At 66.0% G+C, this 16953-nt stretch overlaps 1 protein-coding gene and 1 long non-coding RNA gene across 8 annotated transcripts, besides 7 other annotated features; one reads left to right on the top strand and one right to left on the bottom strand.

Moving 5' to 3' along the window:
• Positions 1850-2189: a silencer, noted in NCBI's record as "silent region_15115". NCBI's record gives its function as "represses an Ori minimal core promoter by ATAC-STARR-seq in GM12878 lymphoblastoid cells {active_cell/tissue: GM12878}" and the evidence as "EXISTENCE:reporter gene assay evidence [ECO:0000049][PMID:35858748]".
• On the top strand, positions 2118-16800 carry DGKQ (diacylglycerol kinase theta). Of its 7 annotated transcripts, none has more exons than NM_001347.4 (23): positions 2118-2475; positions 4615-4694; positions 6777-6876; positions 7123-7208; positions 7280-7405; positions 7660-7807; positions 7885-7959; positions 8038-8138; positions 8326-8558; positions 8633-8723; positions 8885-8939; positions 9160-9221; positions 9609-9759; positions 10158-10196; positions 10396-10511; positions 12397-12548; positions 12767-12915; positions 13074-13252; positions 13605-13705; positions 13853-13999; positions 14109-14220; positions 14486-14638; positions 14966-16800. In NM_001347.4, the coding sequence occupies exons 1-23, from the start codon at positions 2205-2207 to the stop codon at positions 15065-15067; spliced, it is 2829 nt and encodes a 942-aa protein (NP_001338.2). In that variant the 5' UTR covers positions 2118-2204; the 3' UTR covers positions 15068-16800. The 7 variants fall into 7 exon arrangements, with proteins under 7 accessions (NP_001338.2, XP_011511713.1, XP_047305643.1 ...); XM_011513411.2 differs by lacking the exon at positions 9609-9759 and adding an exon at positions 9386-9536; XM_047449687.1 differs by having other exon boundaries at positions 9386-9623.
• Positions 2290-2739: a silencer, noted in NCBI's record as "silent region_15114". NCBI's record gives its function as "represses an Ori minimal core promoter by ATAC-STARR-seq in GM12878 lymphoblastoid cells {active_cell/tissue: GM12878}" and the evidence as "EXISTENCE:reporter gene assay evidence [ECO:0000049][PMID:35858748]".
• Positions 2974-3614: an enhancer, noted in NCBI's record as "H3K27ac-H3K4me1 hESC enhancer chr4:965861-966501 (GRCh37/hg19 assembly coordinates)". NCBI's record gives its function as "activates a minimal SCP1, AML or CMV promoter by ChIP-STARR-seq in naive H9 embryonic stem cells {active_cell/tissue: H9 hESC(naive)}" and the evidence as "EXISTENCE:reporter gene assay evidence [ECO:0000049][PMID:30033119]".
• Positions 5451-5969: an enhancer, noted in NCBI's record as "H3K4me1 hESC enhancer chr4:963506-964024 (GRCh37/hg19 assembly coordinates)". NCBI's record gives its function as "activates a minimal SCP1, AML or CMV promoter by ChIP-STARR-seq in naive H9 embryonic stem cells {active_cell/tissue: H9 hESC(naive)}" and the evidence as "EXISTENCE:reporter gene assay evidence [ECO:0000049][PMID:30033119]".
• On the bottom strand, positions 5746-6804 carry LOC124900645 (uncharacterized). Its single transcript, XR_007057989.1, has 2 exons — positions 6746-6804; positions 5746-6342 (listed from the first exon to the last, which is right to left on the bottom strand). It is a non-coding gene; the product is annotated as an uncharacterized LOC124900645 (long non-coding RNA).
• Positions 6317-7030: an enhancer, noted in NCBI's record as "H3K27ac-H3K4me1 hESC enhancer chr4:962445-963158 (GRCh37/hg19 assembly coordinates)". NCBI's record gives its function as "activates a minimal SCP1, AML or CMV promoter by ChIP-STARR-seq in naive H9 embryonic stem cells {active_cell/tissue: H9 hESC(naive)}" and the evidence as "EXISTENCE:reporter gene assay evidence [ECO:0000049][PMID:30033119]".
• Positions 7031-7744: an enhancer, noted in NCBI's record as "H3K27ac-H3K4me1 hESC enhancer chr4:961731-962444 (GRCh37/hg19 assembly coordinates)". NCBI's record gives its function as "activates a minimal SCP1, AML or CMV promoter by ChIP-STARR-seq in naive H9 embryonic stem cells {active_cell/tissue: H9 hESC(naive)}" and the evidence as "EXISTENCE:reporter gene assay evidence [ECO:0000049][PMID:30033119]".
• Positions 12075-12234: a silencer, noted in NCBI's record as "fragment chr4:957241-957400 (GRCh37/hg19 assembly coordinates)". NCBI's record gives its function as "represses an EF-1alpha promoter that drives an FKBP-Casp9 reporter gene in an ReSE screen in HepG2 liver carcinoma cells {active_cell/tissue: HepG2}" and the evidence as "EXISTENCE:reporter gene assay evidence [ECO:0000049][PMID:32094911]".
• Positions 16801-16953: the final 153 nt, after the last annotated feature.

The following is a 16953-nucleotide window of genomic DNA, read 5'->3' as shown; positions in this document are numbered from 1 at the left end:
CCGAGATCACGCCACTTCACTCCAGCCTGGGCACCATTGAGCACTGAGTGAACGAGACTCCGTCTGCAATCCCGGCACCTCGGGAGGCCGAGGCTGGCGGATCACTCGCGGTTAGGAGCTGGAGACCAGCCCGGCCAACACAGCAAAACCCCATCTCCACCAAAAAAAACACGAAAACCAGTCAGGCGTGGCGGCGCGCACCTGCAATGGCAGGCACTCGGCAGGCTGAGGCAGGAGAATCAGGCAGGGAGGTTGCAGTGAGCCGAGATGGCGGCAGTACCGTCCAGCTTTGGCTCGGCATCAGAGGGAGACCGTGGAAGGAGACCGTGGAGGGAGAGGGAGAGGGAGAGGGAGAGGGAGAGCGGATTCAAAGTTTTAAGGCCCCTTCAGCGAGAAGCTGCTGGTGGCTTTGGAGGACGTTCTAGGAAGTCCGTGGAGTGTTTGCTGGAAGGATGCTTTGCCCGCCATTTTAATTAACGTGTGCGTCAGAAAGCAGAAAGTTCTGGCAGAAATGGTAGATGAGGGTTTTCCTTTTTAAGATGTTTTTGATGCTCTCCACTGTCTCCTAAATGGAGAAAGGTATGTCCTTAAACAGTTTTTCCTCAGAAGCCAGCTGCAGTTTGCACCGTGGTTCACTGCCATGAGCACCACGGGCTCAGTGAGCCACCTCCTCCTCATGGGCCACAAGGCTGGGTCCTAGCTCTCCCAGGGCCCAGGCACAGGGGGTCTTGGGGCCTGGCTGAGGGCAGGCTCGGGGTGGGGTCTGGCACAGGAGACAGGGAATGCAGGGGTGGTGACTCCGGGCCTCCCAGCATAGGTGGGCATCAGGAAAGGATTTCTGCGGAGCACCCTGCCACAGGGCCTCTGCTCCGGCTTTCCGCCTGGACGCCTTCCTGCTGCCCCCAGGCAGCCCTCATTCTTCAGGGTGCTGTCTGTCCCAGAGCGCAGCTCCTGGAGGGTGAAGGTTCCCTGAAGCTTTGGCTGCATTCCCTTTACCCTGGGGTCCACCCAGGGTCCTACCCCAGCAGCTCAACCAGCAGCTTCTGGACAAACAGAATCCTCCCTGGTTGAGGACTGCGTCTCCCCCCTCACCATCTCAGGGGCCTGCTCCTCCCTCCTCAGACTGGGTCCCCGGCTCACCCTCCATTCCTGGAATCCCCTGTGGTCTGGGTGCCCTCACCAGCACAGCCCCTAGGACAGGTCTCCCGGCTCCTTCCCTCCAGAGTCCACAGCCCCCAGCCCCTTTCAGGCGTCTCCCCACAGGCCCTTCCCTGCTCTTCCTGCCCCCTGAGACCGCCTGCTGCGATGGCCCTGGAGCCCTGCCCTCTGCAGGTCCCCGCTCGGTGGCCCGGGGTGGGGTCCCCCGCTTCGCAGACTCCTATCCACAGTTAGGCCCACGGGGGCAAGGACCCAGACTGCTGCCAGCGGCGGGGAGGGGTGACCCGCGTGGACGCGGCTCTCAAAGGACACCAGCGCCACCTGAACAAGACCCGTGGCGCGCACGAGGCAGGAGAGCTGGGCGCTCGGCGTGAGGCCCGGGTGGGGGTCGCGAGCGGACAGCCCCGGGCCGCAGGCGGGTCCCCCGTTGCAGTGAGGACAGCGGTCGGGCGCCGGGGGTCCTGGGCCTCGGGCAGGGCCAAGTCTGCGCGTGCGAAGACCCCACGGACGGAGCCGCCCAAGCACCGCAAACCCCGCTTTCCGGGACCCACTGTGGGAGGCCCGCAGCGCTGCCCCTCGCCGGGGGCGTCCTGCGCGGCCGGGGGCCTCGGACAGCATCCGCGTCTCGCGTGGGAGGCGCCTGTCTGCGCAGCCGCGGGCCGGGACCCCGCAGGTACAACGCCGCGCGTGCGGCGTCCGGAGAAGTCTGGCCCGGCTGCGGTCAAACCGAGCCCACGTGGACCAGTTCCCCACGGCTGGTTCGCGAGCGGCCTCCGCGCACAGGCCCCGCCCCTTAGCAGGCCCCGCCCCGCCCGATCACAGGGCCCGCCCCCAGCCCCGCTCATCGACGGGGCACGGCTGCGACCCTTAGCAGGCCCCGCCCCGCCAGCCCCCAGATCCGCCCACCAGCAGCGCCCCGCCCCGCCCCGCGGCCCGCGCCTGCGCAGTGGGGCAGGCGCAGTCGGAAGCAGTGTACCGGGCCGTGGAGCGGCGGCTCCTGTACCCCCGGCGCGGACCTAAAGGGGCTCGGGCCGCTCGGGCCGGGAATGGCGGCGGCGGCCGAGCCCGGGGCCCGCGCCTGGCTGGGCGGCGGCTCCCCGCGCCCCGGCAGCCCGGCCTGCAGCCCCGTGCTGGGCTCAGGAGGCCGCGCGCGCCCGGGGCCGGGGCCGGGGCCGGGACCCGAGCGGGCGGGCGTCAGAGCCCCGGGCCCCGCTGCCGCGCCGGGACACAGCTTCCGGAAGGTGACGCTCACCAAGCCCACCTTCTGCCACCTCTGCTCCGACTTCATCTGGGGGCTGGCCGGCTTCCTGTGCGACGGTGAGCGCCCGGGCCCGATGCCTACCCGGCTGCAGCCCTGCCTCTGCCCCGTGGGCGGGAGCCTGAGCGGAGGTGGCACCGGCGCTTTCGGGGGAGTGGAGGGCGGGGTCCCAGCCCTGCTCGCGGGACGTGCCTTCGTGGGGCGGCCGGGGCCTGTGCGCCGTGGGGCCGCTCCAGGCTGCGGGCTTCCTCACCTGGGAGGTGCGGACAGCATCTCCATAGTGCCGCGCGATGGCTGCGACCCAGGGGCTGTGCCTGATGCGAGCGGGACCTCAGCTGGGGTCCCCATGGCCGGCTTCCTCTCCCAGTGGCTGGGGCAGCAGGTGTGGCTAAGCAGGGCTGGCCTGGGCCCCTGGCCCTAGCCCTTCTCATGCTGTGGCCCAGAGTCCCAGCCTCCTGGAGAGCCAGGCCGGGCCCTGCCGTCCCGGTGCGCGTGTCCCAGCCCTGCTCCACCCAGCTGCCCAGCTCTTGCTGGGGTGAGGACAGCCCTTCCCTGTTCTGGGCCCGGGTGCTCCCAGGGCTGGCTCTCATCTTCCCCCGCGGCAAGCAGGCGGGCCCCGGGGACTACAGCCCAGCCTCTGGAGGGAGCGAGGGACAGGGGGACCACAGCCCAGCCTCTGGAGGGAGCGAGGGACAGGGGGACCACAGCCCAGCCTCTGGAGGGAGCGAGGGACAGGACCGGAGTTCTGGACGTTTGACACTTACTGTGTCCTGGCCAGGGACGCTGAGGTGGGAGGGGCTATCCTTAGCCTCAGGCCTTTCTCTGGGGATAGGGGTCCACTCAGGTCAGGGTCCGCAGAGGAGACTGTCCCCTCACACGGGGATGTCGTCTGTGGTGGAAACGGCATGGTTGTTCTGACCCCCAGGGCTGCACAAGGTGGCCTGGCCCGCCAGCTTCTTTGTCACGTCAGAGCATGGCACAGCCATGCCTGCTGCCTGGGGATGCCAGGGGCTTCCCCAGAGGTGGGGAGTGTGCATGTGTGGCTGAGGCAGCTCCCGACTTGAGGCCAGACTCCGGGTCCCCTCCCCCTTCGGAGGGGGCAAAAGGGCCCTCCTGGGCAGCACCCGTGGAAGAGGGGCCAGCAGCGGTATGGGAAGGAGGGCACCCTCCCCGCCAGGAGACCCAAGCGTGGGGCGTGGGGTGAGCAGGCCCTGTCTCCATGGCAGAGGAGGGACCTGGGTGCTGCCTGTCCCCCCTTCTCTCGGTGGACCCTGGCCTGCTTCCAGAGCTTTTCTCTTAAGCTGCCAGGAGAAGCTTCTCCCGGTCCCATCTGGAGACTGGGGTGGCTAGGGCTGCAGCAGGTGAAGGGCGGCACCAGCGGGGCCTTCTGGAAGAGCTCCCTGTCCCAGCTGGACTGCCTGGGGCTCCGTGGCACAACCTTCACCCGGGGCTGTCTTGGCAGTTGTGTCACTGGGTGCCCTGCCCACTCCCAGCCCCCGCAGCCTTTGCCCCAGCCCAGGGTTCCTGCCCTCCCTTCTGCCCCGGCCCCACCCTCCTGTCTGTTTTACTGCTGGGGTGTGGCGCTTGCTCCTCTTATGCCCTCCTGAGCACCCCGCCGGCTCAGGTGCTCCCTGGGTCCTATGCACACAGCCAGAGCTCCTTGGGAGGCTTGGGGCTGTCCACTCCCCAGCGGCTCCTGCCTCCCAGAGCCCTCACCTGCCTTGGGTGGCTCTCGGTCTCAGGCACGGTGCACAGCACGTAGCAGGGACAATTAGGGGTATGCGTAGTTTCGGGGGAGTGAGACACAGATGTCCTTGGTAAAGCCAATCTGCCGAAGGCCGAGAAGCCCCTGCCACCTGGCGAACCTGGTGAGCCCAGGGCTGCCCCTTGAGAGGCCCAACTGCAGAGGCAGGAGGAGTGCTGGGCCTACGTGCGAAGGGGAGGGACTGCTCTCTGGATGAGAGGATACACTCATTGTCCTCCAGGATGGTCAGGACCACCCAGGTTCTTGCTCCTGGGCTCCTGGGCTGCAGGCTCTCTCCAATGAGTGGGCAGGGTGGTGGGGGAACTCGAGGACCACAGGGCCCCTGGTGCAGCATGGTGGGTATGGCAGTCATTGCCCTGGGGCCTCTAACTTCCTGGGTAGGACAGCCATTGGGTAGGACAGGGGCCAACTCACACAGTGCTCATTCCCACAGTCTGCAATTTCATGTCTCATGAGAAGTGCCTGAAGCACGTGAGGATCCCGTGCACGAGTGTGGCACCCAGCCTGGTCCGGGTGAGTGTGGGGCTGGGTGTTGCACCTGCAAGAGGCTGGGGGATGTGTCAGCTCTCGTAGGGTCGAGGCACTGAAAACCTTCATGTCAGACGTTAGTGATACCTGCAGTTGAAAGGCAAAGGGCAGATACTGCTCGGGATTAAAAGGCTGAGCACCCTGCATGGATCTGCAGGGAATGATGGTGATAAAAGCCAGTCCCCGAGGTCGCAAATAGCAAGATCCTGTCCATAGAATGTGCTCAAAATGACGAAACTAAAGGGAGCACAGATGTAGAGAGGTTTCCAGGCGGAGAAGTGGGCGTGGCTGTGACATGCAGCGTGAGGGCTCCTGGGGGGGATGGAGATTTCGGCATCTGGCGTGACCTCAGTTTGCAAGATCACACACTTAGGGGAGCTGACAAAGGCTTCAGGGGGTCTGTTCAGTTTCCTCACAGCTATGTGTGAACCCACAAGCATCTCAAGGAAGCTTGAATAAAAAGCAAAGGCAGGAAGCCTGGGTGCCTGAGGGTGTCTTGGCCACCACCCTCCCTCTAAGGGCTCTGGGTGGGGCAGGGAGGTGACTGGCCCAGGTCACTGCAGGGCACAGGGGACTTCCCTTCTCTGGTGACAGTGGTGACAGCAGGGACATGTAGGAAGGGCCAGGCTTATTCCTCCCTCAGCTGTCAGCGTCGCCGTCTTCAGACTGAGGCCCCCCAAGTCCGCATTCCCTGATGCGTTCAGGCTGCAGGTGGGGCGCAGGCCGCGAGGCAGGCCCGGGTGTGCAGCAGGACGGGAAGCCAGGCCAGCAGGCACACCTGCCACTGGCGGGCATCCGGCTGCGCCGTCCCCTCTAATGTCTGACGCCCTGTTCCTAATGATGCAGTTCCCCGGGTGTGAGCAGGAGGCCTTAGGCCGGTGGTCCTGGTGGTGGCCGACACCCTGGTGATTCCACACTGGCTTGGGCGGCCCCTCGTCATGTGGACGGCCCGAGGCTGCCGCTTTTTAAAATTGATTTTAATGTCTTCTATACTTTGCTAAATTGGGAAAATATAAGTATGTATTTCAACTGTATGCATGATAGGAAATTTAGAAGATGTATTTAACGGCCGGGCGCTGTGGCTCACGCCCGTAATCCCAGCACTTTGGGAGGCCGAGGCAGGTAGATCATGAGGTCAGGAGATCGAGACCATCCTGGCTAACACAGTGAAACCCCTTCTTTACTAAACAAAATATAAAAATTAGCCGGGTGTGGTGGCGGGCGCCTGTAGTCCCAGCTACTCGGGAGGCTGAGGCAGGAGAATGGTGTGAACCCAGGAGGCGGAGCTTGCAGTGAGCCGAGATCACGCCACTGCACTCCAGCCTGGGCGACAGAGCGAGACTCCATCTCAAAAAAAAAAAAAAAGGAGATATATTTAACAAAATAAAAGTCACCCGCCATCCTGGCATGCTCACAGCTGCTATTCTGGAACACGGTCTTTCTGTGTATGCTTTTATCGGGTGTGGTTTAAGTTTGGGGACAAGGGCGAGAGTCAGGAGTGAAGACTTGGTCCTTCTCCTTCCCTTCTCGTGGAAAAGCAACAGCCCAGCTTTCTCCAACACAGAAACATTGGTCCACACTCGTTATGGCCAGATTATCTCCCAGAGGGCAGTCCCTGTGTGCTGGGATCTTCCTGGCTCGGAGGAGACAGATGCCAGGCCGTCGACAGAGCCTCGCCTGCCCCAAGGAGGGAAGGGGTGGCAGGCGGGCCTCGCTCCCCTGCGCTAGGCAGGGCTGCTGGGGGAGGCCACAGCCTCCTCCCTGCTTTTGACCAGCCAGGCTGTCCCCAGGACCCGGGGGTGTGGTTGTTCCTGGGGCCTCGCTCCCCTGCGCTAGGCAGGGCTGCTGGAGGAGGCCACAGCCTCCTCCCTGCTTTTGACCAGCCAGGCTGTCCCCAGGACCTGGGGGTGTGGTTGTTCCTGGGGCCTCCAGCTAGCACAGCTGGCTCAGCCTGGGCAGTTCTCAGCAGGAGCGTGAGCTGCAGAGTTGCGCAGGTGAAGAGCGAGGAGGGGTGGCGGGCAGCCTGTTGCCCTTACCAAGGGTGCTGAGGTGAGGCTGCCCCACCAGGTTCCTGTAGCCCACTGCTTCGGCCCCCGGGGGCTCCACAAGCGCAAGTTCTGTGCTGTCTGCCGCAAGGTCCTGGAGGCACCGGCGCTCCACTGCGAAGGTACCTGGAGCCTGCCTGGCTCCCCACCCAGTGTCCTGGTCTCTGCTGCCCAGGGTGGCCCAGCCCACCCCTGCTGTGCAGCTTGTCAGGGGTGATGGGGGAGGCCAAGGGCTGGCCGCCTGGCAGGCCACAGGACACTTAAAGGATGCAGGGTGCTAGGTGGTGGGGATGGGGCAGACCCAAGCACCGGCAGAGGCAGGGGTCCTCCGGGGGCGGCAGACACCTCTAACCCTGCCTGCCCCCCAGTGTGTGAGCTGCACCTCCACCCAGACTGTGTGCCCTTCGCCTGCAGTGACTGCCGCCAGTGCCACCAGGATGGGCACCAGGATCACGTGAGTGTACCGGCCCCAGGGAGCCCTGGGGGGTGGGGCGGGCCCAGCTGCTGACTGCCCCCGCTCTGCAGGACACCCATCACCACCACTGGCGGGAGGGGAACCTGCCCTCGGGAGCGCGCTGCGAGGTCTGCAGGAAGACGTGCGGCTCCTCTGACGTGCTGGCCGGCGTGCGCTGCGAGTGGTGCGGGGTCCAGGTGGGCGCTGGGAAGTCGAGGGGGTGGGGGTGGGGCAGGAGAGGTGCGGGGTTGGGTGGGTGCTGGGAGGTGGAGGAGTTGGCGGGGCGGGGCAGGAGAGGCGCGGGTTCCAGGTGGGTGCTCGGGGGCGGGCGGCAGGAAGGACACGGGGTCCAGGTGGGTCTGCGTCGTGTGGGGTCTTTCCCTGGACCTGGCGCACCTGGTGCCCCCGCACCCTGGCTCCAACCCCCCAGCTCAGGCCCTTCTCCCCCCAGGCGCACTCCCTCTGCTCCGCGGCGCTGGCTCCCGAGTGTGGCTTCGGGCGTCTGCGCTCCCTGGTCCTGCCTCCCGCGTGCGTGCGCCTTCTGCCCGGCGGCTTCAGCAAGACGCAGAGCTTCCGCATCGTGGAGGCCGCGGAGCCGGGTGAGGTGCGGGCCGGCCGGGGCGCCCTGGGCTGGGGGCTGCGCACTGAATGAGGGGTCCGTGTGCCCGACCCGCAGGCGAGGGGGGCGACGGCGCCGACGGGAGCGCTGCCGTGGGTCCAGGCAGAGAGACACAGGCAACTCCGGAGTCCGGTAAGTGCCCGCCTCATTCCCCCCAACTCCACTGAGGTCCCCCGGGCGCCCGGGACTCACGGAGCTTACCCGGCCCAGGGAAGCAAACGCTGAAGATCTTTGATGGCGACGACGCGGTGAGAAGAAGCCAGTTCCGCCTCGTCACGGTGTCCCGCCTGGCCGGTGCCGAGGAGGTGCTGGTAAGGGGGAGGCTGGGGGAGGTCTGAGCCCCCTCCCAGGACCGCATGTCCCCGCACCTGGCGCACCTGACCTGGCTCCCCCAACCTGGCGCCCCTCACCCACCTGGCCTCCCCCTCCATGACCTGCCCCCCACTGAACCCCGCCTGACCCCCCACAACTTGGCCCCTCTAACCTGGTGCCCTGCAGGAGGCCGCACTGCGGGCCCACCACATCCCCGAGGACCCTGGCCACCTGGAGCTGTGCCGGCTGCCCCCTTCCTCTCAGGCCTGTGACGCCTGGGCTGGGGGCAAGGCTGGGAGTGCTGTGATCTCGGAGGAGGGCAGAAGCCCCGGGTCCGGCGAGGCCACGCCAGAGGCCTGGGTCATCCGGGCTCTGCCGCGGGCCCAGGAGGTCCTGAAGATCTACCCTGGCTGGCTCAAGTGAGACTGGGCCCGAGGCTCAGGGTCTGCTGGGCGGGGTGGGGGGAGCTCCAGCTCAGACTGTGTCCCCACAGGGTGGGCGTGGCCTACGTGTCCGTGCGAGTGACCCCGAAGAGCACGGCCCGCTCTGTGGTGCTGGAGGTCCTGCCGCTGCTCGGCCGCCAGGTGCGTACCCTGTGCCTGCTCCCCATGCCGGCCAGACTCGGTGGGGGGTCGCTGTCCCCAGGAGGCCAGGCCACCATCCCAGCCCAGGCGTGGCTGTCCCCGCGGGTGTCCTGAGGTGGTGGGGGCCTGCCCAGACCCGATGCCAAGCTCTACCCCAACAGGCCGAGAGTCCCGAGAGCTTCCAGCTGGTGGAGGTGGCGATGGGCTGCAGGCACGGTGAGTAGACAGCCCGTGCTGGGCGTGGCGGTCCCTGCACCTTTTGGGTTTGGACCTGCTGCCCAGGCTTTCCTGCAGGGTGGTGCCGGACATCAAGGCCGGGCTCTGCCCTCCTGACCAGCTCCACCCTGCATCCCCACGGGCCCTGGGGGCTCCGGGCAGCTGCTTCCAAGGTGGGCGAGGAGCCGGGTGCTGACGGCCTGTGCCCTCACCTCTGCAGTCCAGCGGACGATGCTGATGGACGAACAGCCCCTGCTGGACCGGCTACAGGACATCCGGCAGGTGAGTGGGTGTGGACGCCGGCCCCCAGGGAACCAGCAGCCCTCAGCCACAGCCTCTGCCCCACAGGGTGGGTGTGCCCCAGACGCCGAGTTCTCCTTGGCTAGGCAGCGGCTGTCCTGGCTGACAGGGCAGCGCCCTCGTCATGAGCTACTTGGTCCCTGCAGGGAGGCCTCGAGCTGCAGATCTCCCCGAGGTCCTCGAGGGGAACGGACAGGGGTTGTCCACAGCAAGGAAGCCTCTGTGGCCCCTTTCCTCGTTTTCCTGTTGACTTAATTCCTGGGAGTGTTCCTGATGCCCTGTTTTGCTGTTTTGCGGGTGAGGAGACAGAGGGCCTGGTGCGGTGGTGCCGTTCTCCCCGGCCCAGCATCCCCGCCCCTCTCCCTGCAGATGTCTGTGCGGCAGGTGAGCCAGACGCGGTTCTACGTGGCAGAGAGCAGGGATGTAGCCCCGCACGTCTCCCTGTTTGTTGGCGGCCTGCCTCCCGGCCTGTCTCCCGAGGAGTACAGCAGCCTGCTGCATGAGGCCGGGGCTACCAAAGGTGTGACCACTGTGGCTGGCCGTGGGCTGCTGGCACGGGGCAGGGTCGAGCGGCAGGCAGTGGGGCTGCAGTGCTGAGCCGGCTCCTGCCTCTCCTTGAGCCACCAAGGCCTGAGCTCCGGGTCCAGCCCACGTCTCTTCCTCCAAGAGGCTCTGGAGCCTCTCGCCCTCTGTGGCCGTTCCCTGCGGTGCTCAGCCTCTGCCTCTCCCTCTCCCTCTGGGGGGTCCTGTACCTCCAGGGAGCTGGGAGTCCTGCTCCTGGAGTGGGGCAGGGGTACTTCCTGGGGAGGCTGCCTTTGGGGTGAGATGTCACCCCTGGACAGGCGGAGGGGCTGTCCCTGGCCCCAGTGCTGTGTGTCCTTCGCCTCCCACCGCCCTGACCACAGCCTGCCTTTGCAGCCACCGTGGTGTCCGTGAGTCACATCTACTCCTCCCAAGGTGAGCTGCCCTGAGGGACGTGGTCACATGAGGCCCAGGGGTGTTCCTGGGGTGAAGTGGGACAGCCCTGGCCCTCACGTAGCACCTGACCTTTCCCTTGGGCAGCCCTGGGCTGGGGAAACGTCCTGGTTTGGTTCCTGCCCTGGCACCGTGGGGGCCATGGGACAGGCTCCCCCTGAGTCCTGGGCTCCTGCCGCAGGCGCGGTAGTGTTGGACGTTGCCTGCTTTGCGGAGGCCGAGCGGCTGTACATGCTGCTGAAGGACATGGCTGTGCGGGGCCGGCTGCTCACTGCCCTGGTGCTCCCCGACCTGCTGGTGAGTGTGCGGTCAAGCCGGCTCTTCACACACCCCAGGGGGTGGCCAGAGGGAGGTCGGGGTCTGCAGGTGCACAGGCCCCACAGCCAGACTCGCTGTTTTCATCTGGCATCACTTCCTTGAATTCACTGGGGGCTTGTAGGTGCCACCTTGTTTGTGCCTCACAACAGCAGGAAGGACTCTGTTGCCCGTTTTACAGCAAGGGGCCTGAGGTCAGAGGGTCAGCGCTCATCCGAGGCTGCCCAGTAGGTGATACCAGCTCCGTGGGGCACCGTGGGGTCAGGCCCAGCTTCCACGCTGCACCTGAGGCCTCCACCCAGTAGGGAGGCCCACAGGACGCAGCTCCTGGATGTGCCGGGCCCCGCTGCGGCTGCCTCGCCAAGGGCCAGAGCGTGTTTGTGACCAGCTGTCAGGATCCCAGGCATGGCCCTCCCGGTACAGCCTCAGCCTCACTCCCCCTGCCCGGGAGGCCTTAGGGCCTCTGCTCTCTGCCTGGAGCTCCCCAGGCCAGTCAGTGCAGCTCCCAAACTTTGAACGCTGCCCTTCAGACCCACAGTGCCCAGAAGAGGGGGCACCTGGCAACAGGGCAGGGCTGGGGGAAAGGGGGATCTGGAACATGGAGACAGGGCAGGGCCGGGGGGAACGGGGGTCTGGTCCGTGGAGACAGGGCAGGGCCGGGGGGAACGGGGTTCTGGCCCATGGAGGGGCTGGAGCCTGGGACTCCACGCTGCACACCGTGCCTTCACATTGGCCTCTCGTCCTCAGCCCATCTAGCCCCCAAAGGGTCCCATGAGGACCCCCCAGGTGTCCATGGCTGTTCTACCCCTGAACCTTGACCCTTGATCGTGACCCCAGTCCAGGCGAAGCAGAACTCGAGCAGAATGAGTTGTCTGTGGCTGGGACGGGAGATGCCTGTGGCTCCCTGCTATGCCTCCCTCCTGTGCCCCTACACCCGGCCTTGCCTGGCTCAGGACAGGGTGGCCATCCCCACTGTCCCGAGGATGCAGCCCCCACCCCAGCTCCACTCGCTCTGTGGGCAGAGCCAGGTTTGGGGCCGACACGCGCTTTCTCTCTCCCGTCAGCTGCCTGCCCTGGGGTGAGTGGTAAGTGGTGACCGCAGGCGGCTCTGCCTGCCAAGTGGGTCACGAAGCCCCGAGTGTGTCCTTGCCCCCAGCCACGGCCGGCCCCTGTGCCGCTGCCCACCCTGTGTCTGCACCCAGCCTGTGTGTCTCCTGTTGCCCAGCCTTCCCCGCTGTGGGGGCCCCAGCCTCCTGTCGTAGGGTCCCTAGCCTCCTGTCGTAGGGATCCCAGCCCTGAGCCCGCTGTGTCTAGATCCCTGGGTACTGTTTCTTGGGGTTGTGTGTGGGGAGATGGACTCTGTCCTGTGGTCGAGGGACGCCGCGTGCCACCCTGTGAGTTAAGAGCTTTTCTCGGCTGCTGTGTAGGTGGGCGGTGGCCTGGGAGCCGCCATCCTCCAAAGGTGTGCACCAGAGGCCCCCCAGGGGACAGGCCTTGGTCTCGCTGGCACAGAGTGCCACGCAGAGTCCCACGTGGATTTCCAGCCTGGACTCGCGCTGCATGGCCCAGGCGGGTGTGGTCTGTTCACACGCAGCTCAGTGGGCAGGTCTGAGGCCTTTGTGCTGGGAGTGCCAGGCAGCCAGCCGGCTGTCCTCAGTGCCGCCCTGCTGGCCAGCAGCGAGATGGGGTGACCACGCAGCTCATGTGTGAGGCCTCAGATGTGAGGGTGCTGGCCACGCCTTCCTGGGGAGGGGGCTGGTCCAAGCCAGGTGGGCTCAGGGTTGGGGGCTGGGCACTGCCTGGCAACCCCAGCAGTGGGGACACCCCACCTTGGGTCCCCATCCTAACCCAGCCCCCTGTCTGTCAGCACGCGAAGCTGCCCCCAGACAGCTGTCCCCTCCTTGTGTTCGTGAACCCCAAGAGTGGAGGCCTCAAGGGCCGAGACCTGCTCTGCAGCTTCCGGAAGCTACTGAACCCTCATCAGGTCTTCGACCTGACCAACGGAGGTCCTCTTCCCGGGTGAGTCCAGCAGGACCCCTGGTCCAGGGCAGCAGCAGGGGCGGGAAGGGCCCCAGGAGGCTGCCACAGCTGTCTCGGCCGGCAGGAGCTCCACGGGGATCCCGTGCTGGGACCTTGAAGTCCTCCACACGGCCAGGACGGGCACTTGGAAGAGGCAGCCTGGGTGGGGGATGGGCTGCGCCCGCAGCTGGTAGAGGACACTTCCTGTCTCCCGCTAGGCTCCACCTGTTCTCCCAGGTGCCCTGCTTCCGGGTGCTGGTGTGTGGTGGCGATGGCACTGTGGGCTGGGTGCTTGGCGCCCTGGAGGAGACACGGTACCGACTGGCCTGCCCGGAGCCTTCTGTGGCCATCCTGCCCCTGGGCACAGGTGGGCTCAGCCGTGCAGCCGAGGAGGGGGCCTCAGGGTCTACCCCTTCCTGTGCAGCTTTTGCCGAGGCCTGGGCTGGCTGTCCTCGTGGTGGGGTCTGCACCCAGCTGATGGGCGGGTGGGTGTGGACAGATGCTCTGTGTCTGCTTGTGTCCCAGGGAATGACCTTGGTCGAGTCCTCCGCTGGGGGGCGGGCTACAGCGGCGAGGACCCGTTCTCCGTACTGCTGTCTGTGGACGAGGCCGACGCCGTGCTCATGGACCGCTGGACCATCCTGCTGGATGCCCACGAGGCTGGCAGTGCAGAGAACGACACGGCAGACGCAGAGCCCCCCAAGGTACAGGGCAGCCCGGCGTGGGGTGCCTTCCAGGCTCCTGCATATGACCCCGCTACACGCGTCACAACGGGCGTCCTCTTCCCAGCCACACTCGGGTGTACGCGCCCGCATCATCCCCTCTGCAAAGCGGGCAGTTGAGGGAGACACAGAAAGTAGCCACTGCTGGGGATTGTGCTGAGCCAGCTGGCGACAGAGCCTGGCCAGGACCTGCCCATGCTGCCCTCTCCTGGGTGCTCGGCTTGGTGCCAGGGTGGTCCTTGCTCTTGTCTCTGCCTGCCGGCAGAGCTGTTGGGGAGCTCAGGGGGCCTGGTGAGGGCGGCCGGGTCCTGGGAGATGAACGCCCTGTCCCCAGATCGTGCAGATGAGTAACTACTGTGGCATTGGCATCGACGCGGAGCTGAGCCTGGACTTCCACCAGGCACGGGAAGAGGAGCCTGGCAAGTTCACAAGCAGGTACCGGAGCCGCAGGGGCTACCACCTGTCAACGGCATACCTCCCTCAGGTCCCCCAGCAGGAACAGGCAGAGGGGCCGGAACCCGGAGGCTGCCTAAGGCGGGGTAGGGCTTCCCCTGGTGATGGGTGACCTGCCCCGTCCTGCAGGCTGCACAACAAGGGTGTGTACGTGCGGGTGGGGCTGCAGAAGATCAGTCACTCTCGGAGCCTGCACAAGCAGATCCGGCTGCAGGTGGAGCGGCAGGAGGTGGAGCTGCCCAGTATTGAAGGCCTCATCTTCATCAACATCCCCAGGTGCTCGCGGGCGGGGCTCCCCAGAGGCTCTGCCCGGCGGGGCCATGGGCAGGCTCAGCCCTCGTCCTGCCTGCACCTACACCTCTGTGCCCGCTCTCTTATGCGGCAGCTGGGGCTCGGGGGCCGACCTGTGGGGCTCCGACAGCGACACCAGGTTTGAGAAGCCACGCATGGACGACGGGCTGCTGGAGGTTGTGGGCGTGACGGGCGTCGTGCACATGGTGAGCCGCCGGCCGAGTGGGCGGGCGAGCCCAGGGTGGGCGTCCCCGGTCCCCGCTGAGCCCAGCTGGCCTCTCCCGCCCCAGGGCCAGGTCCAGGGTGGGCGTCCCCGGTCCCCGCTGAGCCCGGCTGGCCTCTCCCGCCCCAGGGCCAGGTCCAGGGTGGGCGTCCCTGGTCCCTGCTCGGCTGGCCTCTCCCGCCCCAGGGCCAGGTCAGCGGTGGGCGTCCCTGATCCCCGCTGAGCCCGGCTGGCCTCTCCCGCCCCAGGGCCAGGTCCAGGGTGGGCTGCGCTCCGGAATCCGGATTGCCCAGGGTTCCTACTTCCGAGTCACGCTCCTCAAGGCCACCCCGGTGCAGGTGGACGGGGAGCCCTGGGTCCAGGCCCCGGGGCACATGATCATCTCAGCTGCTGGCCCTAAGGTATGTGGGGTGAGGCTGGAGAGCCAGGGGAGGTGGGCCGGGCTGGGCCGGCCATGGGAGTGGCCAGTGGTACCCAGGTGGTGCTGGCATGGCCGGCTGCGGCCAGGGAGCACTGACTCCGGGAGGGTGCCTGCTTCAGAGGAGGGCTGTGCCAGTGGCCAGGCGGGCCACAGGTGGCACAGGGAGCAGCCAGACAGGTCCCTCCCCTTCCGTGAAATGGGGCTGAGATGGCATCAGCTGCCCGGGGCCCCAGGACCGGGGGCTGCCCGTGTACCGTTCTTTCATCGGCCATGTCACCCTGGTCCTCTGTCCCCTGCCCTGGGACAGGTGCACATGCTGAGGAAGGCCAAGCAGAAGCCGAGGAGGGCCGGGACCACCAGGGATGCCCGGGCGGATGCTGCGCCTGCCCCTGAGAGCGATCCTAGGTAGGGGTGGCTGGGGCAGCCCAAGGGCTCGAGCCATCTCTGCTCCCGCCAGCCTTGTTTTCAGGTGGTCTGGAGGCAGCTCCACGTCCACACAGTGGCCGGCCCTGTGGTCGGACCTGGCTACAGCCCTGACCACAGCATCTTCCCAGTGACGGAGCGGGACCCGCCCTCATCCCATTGGTGACACATGTTGGTGTCACAGCCCTCATCCCACTGGAGACTGGTGTGCGGGTGGCAGTGTTACCCCGTGTCCCGGGTGGGCGCAGGGCTCTGGATGGTGAGCCCTCTGCCCTGTGGGGGCCTGGTCCTCTCCTCAGGGGTGGGCACCCATCCCTCTCCCCACTGAGCCCCTTGAGCTGGACAGTGCTGGATGCAGGCCGTCCAGGTGGGTCTGATCTCACTTTGTGCCCCTCGGGCCGTCCCCCTGGCCAGTCCTTAAGAGCAGCAGGCTCCCTGGTGTGTCCCTGCCCCAGCAGACACAGGCTGCCAGTCCCTCCAGCCTCACCTCCCCGCCCTGGGCAGCAGGTGTGGGCAGCGTGTGAGGCTGCCGGGTGGTGGTGACTGGTGACTTCCTTGTGTTCAGGGAAGGGAGAAGGTGCCTTCCCTTGTTTTCTGGCCTTGTTATATACAGATGGCAGCTTGGATCTCAGGTACAGCTCCAGGGGCAGGCAGTGCCCAGCTGGACCTGGTGGCCCTTTCCTAGTGCCTCTGCTTGGGGAGGAGAACCTCTGTCCACGTGGAGGCTAGGAGGTCTCAGGTGCTGCCCTGGCAGCACCAGAGTGTGGGCCGGGCCCGAGTGTCTGCCCCTCGGCCCTCAGGGTGGGGCACTTAGCACCCAGAAGGGACCAAAAGCAGGGCATGGCGGTGCAGAGGAGTTTGGGAGGTGTAAACAGCCCATGCACGTGGAGGAGGAGCTGGCTTTCAGCCCCAGACCCCACGCTAGCACTTTCCACGCTGCTTGCCCGCTGTTGATGTGCAGTTCCCAGTGCCTGTGTGAGCCGACATCTGCTCAGTCCTATCCCTCGTCAGCGTGTGGAGACCCAGCTCCTGCAGCCCTCCTGCTCCCACGCCCCCAGACAGCTTGGTGGAGGGTCCTGCATCTGGGCCAGGCTGGGGTGCACCCAGCCAAAGACAAAGCTGCCTCCACGTGCCCAAGGATTCAGATGGTGCACTGGCCCCGGGAGGAGTCTGACCAAAAATGGAGCCCGCTCTGTGGGGAAGCCCCGACTCCCCCACGAGAAACGGTCCCACGGTGCGGATCTCCCCCTTCCCTTGTGGGGCACAGCTGGCCTGGGCCTCCAATCCTGCGGAGCTTTCCTGGGTGTGGCTTTGACCTCAGAAGTGGCTCTGGTTTGGCCTCAGGAGTGTGGCCTGGCCCAGCCTGCTGCAGCCTCCTGGGGGGCCCTTGATGCCACTAATCCCCCGACCCCCCGCATCTGCCAAACTGCACAGACACACGCATTGTAAGGCCGCTTGTGGCCTCCAGCGTGCACTCTTGTTTACGTCATTGTCATCTTCAAGACCAGTCCTTTGTGATTAGTTTTGCTTCGCGAGCCCTGGTGTGGACTGTGGTCTGTATGAATCGTGTGTAACTGTGGTGAGGGGCTTGTCCTGTATGTGAGTCTGTACCCAGGTGGGGTCTGTGCCCTGCACACCGGGCCCCTCTGTATTTATCGCTGCCTGAATGCAACAGTAATTTATATCCAGGACAAATACAGTCTGGGCGTCACTATCCTACCATCTCTTCCTCATCTTTGTGTCAACAACCGAGGGGAGGGGAGGGCCTGGCTTGGCACCCCCGACCCCACCAGCTCTGTATAGGCCTCAAAGGGGCTGGGAGTGGGCTGCCCCTCGGGTAGGTGAGCTTGGCAACGTGTCTTCAGGTTGGAG

Source organism: Homo sapiens, chromosome 4 (assembly GCF_000001405.40).
Source record: "Homo sapiens chromosome 4, GRCh38.p14 Primary Assembly".
In the NCBI taxonomy this organism is placed as follows: domain Eukaryota; kingdom Metazoa; phylum Chordata; class Mammalia; order Primates; family Hominidae; genus Homo; species Homo sapiens.
The sequence above is the reverse complement of the archived record's forward strand: the minus strand, read 5'-3'. Positions and strand labels throughout refer to the sequence as shown.